Raw genomic sequence first — 14,119 nt, forward strand, 5'->3', positions numbered from 1 at the left:
TAGTGTCCAGGTGAATGGCGCATTGCCAGAATGGATTCCTGAATAGCATGGCCATGCGCACCAAGAAGACCAAGGTCCTTGTTAAGATTCAGCAAGATGCTCTGAGGATACCCTTCTTGTCTCCAGAGTGGTAGTAAGGGCACACCAATAGTATGTGAGAAAGGATCCTGGAAACCACTCTAGGCTGTGCATATGGGAGTGGTATCTTAAGTCACACCAGATTCTACTTATTGCTATTTTTAAAATTAACACTATTAGGCTGATAGACTTGGGGATGTTCCATTGCAATAGTTTTTATCAAGTATTTGACAGTGACATCCTTTCATATAAGTTGTCAGAATGCAGGCTAGATGATAGTCTAATTGGATGACTTCATGGCTCATTGATCAAACAGACCCCGGGAATGTTATGAGTAGATCATTGTCAGCTTGAAAAATGTCTCTAGTGGTGTTGTGCTTGAGGACCTTGTCCTCGTTTTTGTTTTCTTCTTTCTTATCAAAACTTGAATGATTTGGAGATGACAGCTCAGAAAAAAAGTGCTAATATATTGATAAAAGCAATAAGAATAAAGGGTGTGGGAGAAGAATAATATTTTTGGATCAGCTACTGTGCCAGGTACTATATTAGGCTCCCTATTCACAAGATCTTTAATAATTAATTATCATACTAGTCATGTAATTGGATTTTATTGTCTCAATTTTTCATCTGAGACAACCAAGGGTCAGAAGTTAAATTACATGTCTGGGGTGGCAAAGCCAAGTTTGAACACAGATGTGACCAATTCCCAAGACTGTGCTCTTCTGCCATCCCAGGGGCTTCTGGGCAAAGGTACTTTAGGTTCTATGCAGCATGTACATTGGCACCTTTGGTGGCATGAGGTTGGTTCCTGCAAGGACAATTGGTCCTGGTCTAAAACACTGTCTCCAGTTGAAACAGCTTTGCTGCCATCATCCATCACTGACACTACAGTTCACCTGGGCGACACCTGTCTCCAGATGCTGGCACTTCCTCCACAGCTGTTCCCAAAGAGCCAGGGCATCCTGCTATAAACTCCCCAGAGTAGATCCTGGTTCTTGTATTCTCACTTTGTTCCCTTCTGAATCATCACTTGGCCATGAGTCCATCCAATAGGTAGAGGTTGAATCCCATTTCTATACTCTAGTAGCTAGGGTTGCTGGGAAAATGAATTATGGCAAGATGAGAAGGTGGGACTCAAGACTTGGGAAACTACAGAGGAAGGTAGCCCAAAAGATATTGAATAGCTACACATTTAAAATTTTTTTTAGAAAAATTTAAATTTTTAATTATTTTTGATAGGGTCTTTCTTTGTCACCCAGGCTGGAGTGCAGTGGTGCAATCACAGCTCACTATAGCCTCCATCTCTCAGGCTCAAATGATTCTCCTGCTCTGGCTAATTTTTGTATTTTTTTGTAGAGACGGGGTCTCCTTATGTTGCCCAGGCTGGTCTGGAACTCCTGGACTCAAAACAATCCTCCTGTCTTAGCCTCTCAAAGTGTTGGAATTATAGGCATGCATAGCTACACATTTGACAAGTGTGCCCCCAAATCACCCTAGAGTGAGGGTTTGTATCTTTGAAATAGACTTTTTAGGTTCTCTCCTAGATGTGTGGCATTTGACAAAGTCTGTGTGTCTCCCATGAGTGGGAGTTAAAATATAATTGCTTCCCAGTTAAGATTTGCCCTTTGGAGGTATGAAAATGGCAAATACCATTTTTTTCTCTTGATTTCTTTGTGTCAGTTATAGCAAAATGTCTGCTAATATTGTGGCCATCTAATGAAGATGTATGAGTCTGTGTGAAAATTGTGATGTTTTTCATACCATGTGTTCTGAGTTTCCTTGCTGGAGGATTTTGCTTCTTTGTTCTTGTCCATTACCCTGCACTTTTATGCCAAGACTAAAAATTAACTTCTTGTTTAGAATTATCACTCAGGCTCTAGCTAGTCAGAGAAGAGGAGAAAGACCTTCAAAAGTAGAAGGACAAAGCAATTATTATGCTAAGAAAATAGAGCCAGGTCTGTTCATCACCTTCTGAGGCCAGGGAAATTAGCAAGCATGACCTGGTGCAGCAGACAGAGAAGCCTGCAGCCTACAGGTTATTTTTCCTGACGTTGTCATTGTGTGGCCTTGGGCAAGCCACTTTACCTCTGATAGGAGTTCATAAAATGAGGACACTTGTAACATTTATTTACAGAATAAGGAAAATATGGCCCAATCCCATTTATCTTCCTGTATGAAGAGGGGTCCTGATGGGGTCTCTGGCACCTGAGGAGAGCAGTGTAGCATAATGGTTAGGGACACAGGCTTTACCATTAGTCTCATGGCTGTTTGACCCTGGGGATGTAACTTCACCTCTCTGAACCTCAGTTTCCTTATAATTGGGGGCAATATTATCATAATACTGCCTCTTTGGGTTGTTTCGAAGTAAAATATGATAATGTATCTAAAACGTTAACTAGTTCCTGATACATAATACACACTCAAAACTGTTAGCCTCTGTTATAATTACAGTCCAATTCTGGAAAGATGATACATTGAAATGGGAACCACTGGAATTTAGACCCAGAGGATTCTATGCAGGTCAGGTGCCCTGAGATCTCAACTTTTAGTTAAGAGACCTCGATGGAGGTTTGCCCACAGGGCTGAGCTGGGCCAGAACCTCCACTCTTTTGCCTGTTGCTACCCTCAGTGTCTCTGAAAGGAAACCAATGCCAGCCTGGGTCCACAGGGCACTGTCATGGAGAAGGTGGGCTTTTAGGCAAGCCCTGGAGGATATGGTGGCTTTGGGTATTTGGAAGGTGCAGCCAGGTGGGAGTGTGGCTTGAGCCAAGAGTGGACCTGAGAACCATGATGTTTCAGGGACATCATGAGGACCAGTGTGGTGGCTGGACATGGCATACACATTCACAGGTGCTCCTAACTTCAGGTAACTTGGGGCGTTCACCTTTTCCTTGGCATGACTCCCTTCAGGCCTGTGCCACAGGGTTGGCTGTGAAGATAGCTGCTGCTTACTGGCTGTGTCATGCTGTTCACTTTCTCTCATTTGCCAAGGGGGCTGGTAGTCCTCCAACCCTGGGCCCATGTGTCTATGTGAGGCTGGTGGCTTAGAAATCATGGCTGGATGTGCATCTGGGAAAGGTTAAGAAGGGCCATGCAGAGTCCCATCTGCAGGGGTACATGGGTCCTGCCAGCTTTGTGCTGGACCTGTTTAGGGGAACCTGGGGATTTGGGACTGGCTCTGCTGTTATTCTTGGACACCTCACTTCTCAGCCTGCAGATCATGGGCCCTGAGGCCCATGAACCTCTGAGGTTTCTGTACAGTTTGTGGGTTTGTGGGATTTTGGTGGGGAGGTATTTCAAAGCCTTCATTGGATTCTCAAAGAGGTCTTTGCCTCTCAAAATATCAGGTTTGAAGGAATGAAAGCAATTTCTTCTTCTTATGATATAATACAAAAATTAACCTCACCCATTCACACATTTGTCCAGGTTTCCTCTGCATTTTAGACTGGTGGAATGGGAAATCACAGAATAGATTTTGAACATAAGTCTAAAAATCTACTGAACCTAAAAAACCAAACCGAAACAAGAAACCAACGAAACCCCCATGTTAAGAGAGAGATTCTGATGAGGGTGCAGAAGGGAAGAAAGGTAGACGTTCCCTGATTTTTTTTTTCCTCTTAAGGTAGTTATCCTGAGTGGAGGGTGCAGGTGTGTTGGCTGAAGCCTTGTGGCTAATCAGTGACAGGTTCAAGCTCCTGTCTTCATAGTGCTATGCAAGGCTCAAAGTGGAGGCCATCAAGTTCTGCCCCTGCTCTCAGTGGGGGAGAAAACTGGCCCTTTAAAACCAAAGGAGCCATTAGGGGTGAGTTCAGCTGGGTTGAGTGGGTAGCCCAGAGGCCCTGCACACCAGTTCCAGGTGCCAGAACTGCTGATCTCTAGGTTCTGGCTTCAGAAGGTTTGGAGTGAGGTTCAGAATCTTGCTTTTTTAAAAAAAGCTGTCCAGGCTGGGCATGGTGGCTCACGCTTGTAATCCCAGCACTTTGGGAGGCCAAGGTGGGTGGATTACTTGAGGTTAGGAGTTCGCTACCAGCCTGGCCAACATGGGAAACGCTGTCTCTACTAAAAATACAAAAAATTAGCTGGGCGTGGTGGCACGTGCTTGTAGTCCCAGCTACTCGGGAGGCTGAGGCAGGAGAATTGCTTGAACCCAGGAGGTAGAGGTTGCAGTGAGCCTAGATCACGCAACTGTACTCCAGCCTGGCTGACACAGCAAGACTCCGTCTCAAAAAAAAAAAAAAAAGAAAAAAAAAGAAAAATGCTGTCCAGGTGGTTAGATGTTTGTTTGGGAACCTGCAGCGTAGGCTCTCAGTCTTGGAGAATATTGCCACCCCCTGAAGAACTTTAGAACCTTCCCTGCCACGCCCAGCCTCAGGCTCATGAAATCAGAACTCAGGGGTGGGCCCAGGCAGAGGTGATTTTCAAAGCTTCCAGGTGATTTCAGTGTGCAGTCAAAGTTGAGAACCACTGCGTGAGAAAGACGGCATTCCTGAAAAGGCTGCAGTAAGTCAGGCAAGAATGAAGTAACTCCCATGCTGAATGGACACTGGAATCAAAGGTTCTAAATGCCTTTAAATGCAAGGATGTATGAGGGTAAAGATGACATCAGGTAGGTATGTGGGTTGGAGTCAGACAGAAGAAAAATGACCTGCAAAGAGAGCCCCCACAGAACTCCTTAAGTGATGAGGGGGCTATGTGGGGGTGAGTGGGAAGAACTTGGAGTGGGAGGCCTTGATCAGATGTAACCCCCTGGGGGGACAAGCAGGGAGTGGCCTAATGAACCTAAACCTGGTAGCCGAGGAAGGTGAGTGGATTGGGGCCTCACCCAGGGTTGGGGAGGGAGGGGGCTGGGAATCTGGAGCCATGGTGCCAGCTCGTGTAGAGGGACACAAGAGAATGGAATGGACATGTGGCATTAGGGGAATAGTGCACAGAATGGTGGACTAGTTAGGGAAATAGTGAGGTGATACAGTGGAGGCAATTTTGAAAAGGGGAGGAGGGGTTTATACCTGTTAGTCTGAGGTTATGGCAAGCCACACACAAGGTGTGGGGTGGCTAGTGAGAAATGTTGGCTGGGGACCCAGGTGAGAAGGCTGGAATACTGGAGAGGCTAGGGGTGATTCCTTGGAGGGAGCTACAGAGTCTGGAGGTCGTGTCCTGGAGGGCCAGCCATAGGATGCAGGTGAGGAGAGGACCAGTCCCTGGCTGTAGGGAAAATGAAAGTTAGCAGTCACCCAGGTGGCAGCACCCAGATGATCCATTGAAACCATAACCCAGGTGTTGTCCATCAGTAAGAGACTCAGGTTTAGCTGCATGTGGCAAAGAACCCAGATAACAGTGGCTTAAAATTTTTGACTATATTTTTATCATGGAAAAAAAGTGGATATTAAGACAATGAAAAGACAAGCCACAGACTGGGAGAAAATATTTGCAAAACGTATCTGATGGAGTACAAGTATCCAAAATATACAAAGCACTCTTAAAATTTAATAAGAAAACAACCTGATTAAAAAATGGGCAAAAGATCTGAACAGATATGTCACTAAAGAAGACATTCAGATGGTAAATAAGCATATAGAAAGATATCCAACATTACATGTCAATATAATGTAAAATGTACATTTAAAAAAATGAGATACCACTACACACCCCTTAGAATGGCTAAAATAAAAAAACACGGATATCATCAAATGCTGGCAAAGATGTGGAGCAACAGGAACACTCATTCATTGCTGGTGGGAATGCAAAATGACACGGCCACTTTGGAAGACAGTCTGGTAGTTTCTTACAAAGCTAAATGTAGGCTTACCATACAATTTGGCAATCGTGCTTCTGGGTATTTACCCAAATGAGTTGAAAACTTATGTCCATGGAAAAGCCTGCACGTATTTTCACAGCAGCTTTTTTCATAATTGCCAAAATTTGGAAACAAGATGTCCTTCTGTAGTTGAATGGGTAAACAAACCATAGTATTTGTCCATACCATGAAATATTTTTTATTTAGCAATAAAAAGAAATGAGTGATCAAGCTAGAAAAGACATGGGGGAACCTTAAATGCACATTGTGAAGTTAAACCAGTCTGAAAAAGCTACATACTGTGAGTCCAAATTATGACATTCCGAGAAAGGCAAAAAGCTATGGAGACAGTGAAAAGATCTGTTGCCGGAGTGGGAGTTGAGATTGGGAGATGGGTAGGGAGGGATGAACAGGTGGAGCACAGGGGATCTTTAGGGCAGTGTCACTGCTCTGTATTTTATTGTAATGTTGGATCCAGAACGTTATGTATTTGTGAGAACTCATAGAACTGTTCAACACAGTGAATTATAAAGTAAAACTATGGACTTGTTAATAATGTGTCAATATCAGTTAATCTGTTGTAACAGATTAACATCTTGCACACTAATGCAAGATGTTAATAGGAGAAATGGGTGGGTGGGGAGGGGCAGTGTGGATATATGAGAACATGCTCTACTTTCTATGAAATTTTTCTATAAAACAAAAGCCACTCTAAGAAAATCAGTGGATAATTATACAGTTTCAAGTACAATATGTTGATTCCATGATACTCTTAGGAACCTGGGCTTGTTTTATCTTTATGCCCTACCATCCTTAGGATCTGGCTTTTGTCTTTCGTGTTTCATCATAGTTACAATGCAGCTGCCCCACACCCTTGTCATATCAAGACAGGGAGGCATGTATTGGTTAGGATGCAGTCTTCTCTGTTGCAACCAAGAAATCTCCCAATGTGGCAGTTTAAATAAAATAAAAGTTTTTTTCTTGTATAAGATTCCAAATATAGGCAATCCTCTTTGGAACTGTAAAATAGCTATAGCATCCTGACCGCAAGGATTCCATCTCTGGGTCTAGGTGGCTCCTTCCACTCTTACCATCTCATCTGTATCTCAGCCCCTAGAAAGAAGGAAAGGGACGAAGGGAGTGCACGCCCATTTCTGTGTGCACATAGCTTTCACTCATATGATTTTGGCCAGACGCTCGAGGGCACAGTGAATAGTGGGCTGTATCCAGCTAACCTTCTCCTGCTATCACTATGAATATTAGGTGACAGCCAGTGGTCCCTGCCTTAGTTGAGGAGAGTGAAGAGCAGTATTGGTGCTGGCTGGGTGTGCTGCTTTTAAAGAGCTTTCCAGAAGCTCCACCAGTGACTTCCATCTATAGTTCACTGATGAGAACTGTGCCACATTGTAGAGTGCCACATTGTGGAATATACATTGTCACTCCAAACACAATTGGATTCCCATTATAAGGCAGAAAGGGAAATGGGTATTGAGTGGGTAACCAGCAGCATCTGCCTCCGCAAGAAGAGAGGACATTTCAAAGAATGGGCGGTTGAGGACACTGTGCCACAAAGGCAAGTTGTGAGAGGAGCAAGGCAAGGCTGGGAGTGGTGAGCAGGAGATTTAGGGTGTCTGAAGGGGGAGAAAGCAGAAGGGTGGTGGGGGCAGAGGCTGGCAAGGAGAGACTGGGGGCTGTGAAGAGAGCCAGCAGGATTTCCCAGGAGCTGAAATCTGTGAACAGCTTGAACAAGGGCTGTGTCCCATCACAGGGTACGTGAGGGTGGAAGACAAGAGAATGAGCTAATCAAGATGTCAAGGACCTCATACCAGACACAAAGATGAACTGAAAACAGACCATAGTCCTAAGTGTAAGGGCCAAAACAATGAAACTCCCAGAGGAAAACAGGAGCAAGTCTCCATGACTGGGTTAGGCAGTCATGGTTCTTGCCACATGTGCTTTCCATGTCTTAGATATGACAAAAGCATAAGTGACAAGAGAAAAAAATAGTTTGGACTTCATAAAAATTAAAGCCTTTTGCATCCCCAAAAGACATAATTGGTAAAGTGAAAACACAAGCCACAGAATGGGAGAAAATGTTTGTAAATCATATATCTGATATCTGATGACCTGGAAGACAGGCCATGTGAAAGAAGCCAGACACAAAAGGTGAAGTACTGTTTAATTTCATTTGTATGAGATGGCCAGAAAAGACACATCTCTAGAGGGACAGAGTAGATTGGTGGTTGCCTCTTGCTGAGTGTGGGGACACAGAGCGATTGCAGATGGGTATGAAGGTTTGGGGGTGTTTTTGCATTGATGAAAAAGTTAAAAAAGTTAGATTGTAATGACTGTATAACTCTATGAAGATACTAATAATCAGTGGATTATATCCATAAAACAGGTGGGTTTTATGGTACCTAAATTATACCTCATTAAAGCTTACAAAAAACGTGTAAGGGAATGACTATGGAAGAGAGACACTGAGCTGGTGACGGCCGGGCTAGGTGTGGGGAGAAATTCCAGCTTCTGTGATGAGAGGACACTAGCTGAGCGGAAGTTGACTGAGAAAGTTCATTCCGTCTGCCTCATGTCTTGTTGAAGTGAGGGTGAAGGAAACTGGAAGATGAGAGAACCAGACTGGCCTCTCTGAGAAGGTATCTAGAGAGTTGACCTGTTTTGGTAGGTCCCTTTTCCCCAAGTGCACAAACTTCACACTTTGGTTGTAGCACATGTTGCCCAGGGTGCTTCCACCTGGGTCCCCTGTGTGTCTCGGACTCCTCACACCTTCCAGTTAAAGTAGATGACTCATTCCTCAGAGGCTGACGCACTTAGAGTTGCACACACAGGAGGCACAGACATTAGTATAGTCCCTTGAGAAAATTAAAATGCTACATCATGGGAACTTTAATGAAGAACAGGAAAAAGCATCAAATAGTAACAAATGGATTATTATTGTCGATTCTTGAATGGGCAGTGAAGAGAGAACGAGAAAAAGGTATGATGAGGAGAGAGGTGGGAGGAATGAGAAGAGGCAGACAAAAATGAAGCAAGAGACATACAGAAAGTGAGAATATTCAGACATTAAGACAAATGGAACGAGGGAGAGAAAGTGGCTGAAAGAACAGTAATATCAACAAGGGTATTACCTAACATTATTCAGCATTTATCACATGCCAGCCATGTCCACAGCATGTTACTTGCATTGATTGATTGAATTCTCACACCCTCAGGAGAAGGTAGACATTATCTTATTTTACAGACAATAAAGCCAAGGCTCAGAGAGGTTAAGTAACTTGTCCAAGATCACACAGCTGGCTTCAGAGTCGATGTTTTTCTACCTCTACAGTCTGCCAGGGGAGAAGAGAACACACCCGGAGATTAATGTAGTGGCAACTGCCTCTCTTGCTTAAACTTTGAGCTTCTGGGCAAGTTAATCTTAGCTAGCACTGTCCTTTTACTAGCTGATGACTGGTTCAAATCCTCCTCCATCTCTTTATCCCTGAGATGGAGTGCCAGTTGAGCCCCACAGCTCCAGAAGCTTACTAAGAGCTTTTTACTCCTGGGGCAACTGTTGAGGGGGCCCTTGTCCCTACTTTTGCCAGATGGTGAAACATCTGTTTCTATCCTTGACTGAAACTATAGTTTATTTCTTCTAATTTAAGTGGAGGAGTACTTGGGAGCATTGATTTCACTGTTGGTTGCTGGAGAAAGTCATCAAGCTTCTGTCTCTATACCACTCAATTAAATAATGTAAGCACTTGTTCTTATAGTCACAAAGGGCTTTATATGTTACTCTTGTAAAAAGGCTCCCTTGAGACACAGGGTCAGAACTGAAACATGCAGGTTTCTGTGAACCTTAGTTGGTTAAACCAGACTTTTCCCAAGGCCACTGATATTACTGTAACAGAAGTCTGTGTATTCTGAGAAGGCAGGATGTTTCAGAAAGTTCTTTTAGCGGTAGTGCCGTTGTGTCCCTGGTGCGTGTGCCTCCATAGGGGTTTCCTTGAGTTGCTTATCTATTTTAGATAGTCCCCTTGGCACTTGGGTAGCCTTGGCCTTGGCCTTGGTTGTGAGCAGCCCATTGGTTGTGGCTGCCTGCTCCAAAGAGTGGCTGTTCAGAAGCTGGTGATGTGTCCCTGGCAGTGGCTGTGCTGATAGGAAAGGAATCCGAGTCTCCCTGGGGAGATTAAGGTCAAGCTGAGCCGCGTTGCCTTCTGGGTCACTGGATTCTGGGTACTTGGCGCATTCCACTTCATCTTGCTGCAAAAACACAGACTCAAAAGGAGTGGCAGCTGCAAAACTAACCCAGAATGCTGGTATCAGGGAGAAAAGGATGGCTAAGGTGCTTACAGTAAATACATACTGACAGCCTCTCTTTGGTATGTGGAAGCCCTATGAAGGCAGATATCAAATTTTGTATTAGTCAGGGTTCTCCAGAGACACAGAACCAAGAGAATATCTATCTATCTGATATGGATTGGCTCTGTGTCCCCAACCAAACCTTGTCTCAAATTGTGATCGTCAGGTGTGGAGGGAGGGACCTGGTGGGAGGTGATTGAATCATGGGGGCAGTTTCCCCCATGCTGTTCTCATGATAGTGAGTGAATTCTCATGAGATCTTAGGCTTTAAAAGTGTTTGGCAGTCACCCCCCCATCCCTCCCCACCGCTTTCTCCCCAGCCACCTTGTGAAGAAGGTGCTGCTTTCCCTTTACCTTCCACCATGATGGTGAATTTCCTGAGCCTCCCCAGCCATGTGGAACTGTGAGTCAACTGAACCTCTTTCCTTATAAATTAGCCAGTCTCAGGCAGTTCTTTAGAGCAGTGTGAAAACGGACCAGCTCCTATTCTCTCTCTCTCTCTCTCTCATCTATGTAATCTATCTATCTAGAAATATTTATTTTTAAGGAATTGGCTCAGGCAGTTGTGGGGACTGGCAAATCTGAAATCTTCAGGGCAGGCTAGCAGGCTGGAAATGCAGGTAGGATTTCTATATTCCTGTCTTAAAGCTCCATATACTTTGTGCATCTCATAGAGTACATCTCATACGTATGTATGAGTTCAGAAAATAATAGTCTAAAGATGCAAATCTTGAGAGGTTGTCCATGTGAATTCACTGTAAGCAGCTTAGCATCCTTTTCTGCCTGATATTGGCACCAGTAGAATGAGGGAATGAATGAGAGGAGCACACATCTGGGGGGCAGCTCTGTGGAGATGTTAGGGGCACTGACTCTAGGGTCAGACTGCCTGGGTTGAGTCTGAGCTCTGTCGCTTTCTAGCTGTGTGACTTCAGCTCCATTGCTTAACTTTTCTGGGCCTTGATTTCCTTATCTTTAGAATGTCAATAATGTTATCTACCTGTATTTGTCCATTTTCACACTGCTATAAAGACATACCTGAGACTGGGTAATTTATAAAGGAAAGAGGTTTAATTGACTCACAGTTCTGCATGGCTGGGGAGGCCTCAGGAAACTTAGAATCATGGCAGAAGGTGAAGGAGAAGCAAAGGCACATCTTACAGGTGGCAGGTGAGAGTGAGTGAGAAAGCAAAGTGGGAAGAGCCCCTTATAAAACCATCAGATCTTATGAGAACTCACTATCACAAGAACAGCATGGGGGAAACCACCCCCCTGATCCAATCACCCCCCACCAGGTCCCTCCCTCACACCTGGGGATTACAAGTCAAGATGAGATTTGGGTGGGGACACAAAGCCTAACCCTATCACTACGTCATAGAAATTTTCTGAATACTAAATCTGTAAAAAGTACTTAGAACCTCATCTGGCGCATGATAAGCATTCCATAAATGTTAACAACTATTATTATTTCTGAGCCGAAACTGACATAGTGTCCCATAGTGGGGAAGGGAGTATGCCTGTGATTCTTTAATTTTCCTTTGAAAGTTTTAGCCATGAAGGAAGAAAAGGGTGTATTTACTGGAAAGGCAGGGATAAAATGATTGTCTTTAAACAGATATGATTAATTCCCTAAGAGAAGCCAAAGGACTTAGCAAAAAGATTTTTAGAATCAGTGGTAGCAGGGAAATGGCCATATGTAAAAGAAATACATAAAAGTGAAACTTTCTCCAATATGTCAGTTTTAACTAATTAGAAAATATAGTGGTGGAGGGAAGCTACCAAATTTAAAGGGATCTTATGGTGGATGTCCTTTGTTTTATTTTATTTAAACACACACACACACACACACACACACACACACACACACACACACACACACACACACACATATATATAGAGAGAGAGAGAGAGAGAGAGCAAGCAATATGTGAAAATACAATAAGACCAAATAAGGTTTTCCTAAGAAGTCAAGAAGACTTACGTATATGTGTATATATAATATATATGTTATATACATGTAAAACTATTATATTGGACTCTAATTCTTGAACTCTAAGGGATGAGTCTTATATGGTCTTGTATTATTTTTACATATTGCATAATTTGATTTCTCAATATTTTCTTAGATTTTTGCATCTTAGATTTTCAGTGTGTCTTTTTGGTTAGGTTTTAGTACTGAGGTTACACCAGTTCCCTAAAAAACCAGGGACTCTTTTTATCCTTTGTAAGCCCTAGAGGTGGTTATACAGTGAGGCAATTGTGCAGTGAAAGGCAGGGTGGTGCAGGTGACCGTGGAATCAGATTCTGTGCTTTCAACCCTGCTTCTGTTTCCACCAGCCCTGTATGCAAGTTACACCATTTCTACAAGCTTTGTTTTCCTCATCTGCAAAATGGACACAGAAGTAGTACCTACATCAGAGGTGGGTGGAAGCAGGGGTAGGGAAGGGTGAGAGGTCACAGATGCCCTGTTGTGAACCTGGCTGAATCTGGCCACACTCTTCACCCACTTGCCTCTTCCTTAGCTGGTCCCCTCCTTTACTCTGAACCTGGGATCTGGGGCCTCTTCCCCACCTCAGCCTGCTTCCACCATCCTTGTTTCCCAGTTCCATGCAGGTTTCTTCATGTATAGGATTTTGTGTACAGCAGAAGATAAGGTAGGAGCTAGAATATTGAAGCAGAGGAATTGTAAGTGATTAAACTTCTAAAAAAAATAGGACTTTTTTTTTTCTTCTATGCTCTCTTAATTTCCATTAGGGTTTAGCTTAACAAACCAATTGCCTGGTTTCTCGGCATCCGGAAAAGATGACCCCTCCAGGATGGTGGGCTTGCTGGGTCTTGGCAGTCATTGTTTTTATTGAGAGGCCTGGAATCCCAGAGTGACCACCCTACATGCTCACTGTGGGTCTAGAGAATTATGTGGGGAAACACACACTCAAAGTGCAACTTTGCAGTTGTTTGAAGATACAAGAAGGGGCAACCAATGGACTCTTTCTGAAATTCTCCAGAACTTGGGGGCATTCTGAAATGTCTTCCCTGGCCAGCTCATGCTTTTTCTCTCTCTGGGCATCTATAGCATGTTCTTTGTCTGCTATTCATTTGACATTTACCATTGACTTATAACTGCTGGTAATGCGAATTACAGAAAATCCTTGAGATTGGAAGACTAGGATTTACTGTTTCTAATAGTTAGAGCCTGGCCCCTGGCAGGGGTTCACTGATTTTCTGCTCCTAGCTGCTGTCCCCGCTACCCCAGAAAACCTTTCTTGGCAAGTCAAACAAAAAGCTGTCTATAATTCAATTTGGTGCACTTAAATCAAAACTTTCTTCTGGTCTGGTCAGAAGAGTTGAAGGAGTGTTCATGTCAGGATTTTTGAGAGTGAGAGTTTTTTGTGGAGAATATGTTTTTGTGGAAATCTGTGTTCACAGGAATCTTGAACTTCTGTAGACATCGTGTATTGGCTGCAAGCTTCTTGAGACTAATGGCTTCCATATAAAAAATGTAAAACAAATGAACAAAGGAAAATGGAGGGGCTCATTGAATTTTGAGGGGACTCTGAATGCAGACTCTACTTGAAGCAGCTGCTCAGCTGGAGGCTACTGCATGCTTTGCAATTATGCAGCTGGGTTTCCTATTTTCTTTAAAAGAATCCATATTAGTCTGTTCTCATGCTGCTAATAAAGATATACTCGAGACTGGGTAATTTATAAAGAAAAAGAAGTTTAATGGACTCACAGTTCCTCATTGCTGGGGAGGCCTCACAATTATGGTGGAAGGTGAAGGAAGAGCAAAGGCACATCTTACATGGTGGCAGGCAAGAGAGTGTGTGCAGGGGAACTGCCCTTTATCAAACCATCAGATCTCATGAGACTTATTCACTATCACAAGAATGC

General features: G+C 43.6%; 1 protein-coding gene across 41 annotated transcripts in view, besides 1 other annotated feature; it reads left to right on the top strand.

Moving 5' to 3' along the window:
• The window catches only part of FHOD3 (formin homology 2 domain containing 3), a 482,508-nt gene that overhangs the window by 59,671 nt on the left and 408,718 nt on the right, over window positions 1–14,119 (top strand). The gene's annotated exons all lie outside the window — the stretch shown is intronic.
• Window positions 9,856–9,905: an enhancer, noted in NCBI's record as "active region_13236". NCBI's record gives its function as "activates an Ori minimal core promoter by ATAC-STARR-seq in GM12878 lymphoblastoid cells {active_cell/tissue: GM12878}" and the evidence as "EXISTENCE:reporter gene assay evidence [ECO:0000049][PMID:35858748]".

The sequence above is a fragment of the Homo sapiens genome, chromosome 18, assembly GCF_000001405.40.
Source record: "Homo sapiens chromosome 18, GRCh38.p14 Primary Assembly".
Lineage (NCBI taxonomy): Eukaryota > Metazoa > Chordata > Mammalia > Primates > Hominidae > Homo > Homo sapiens.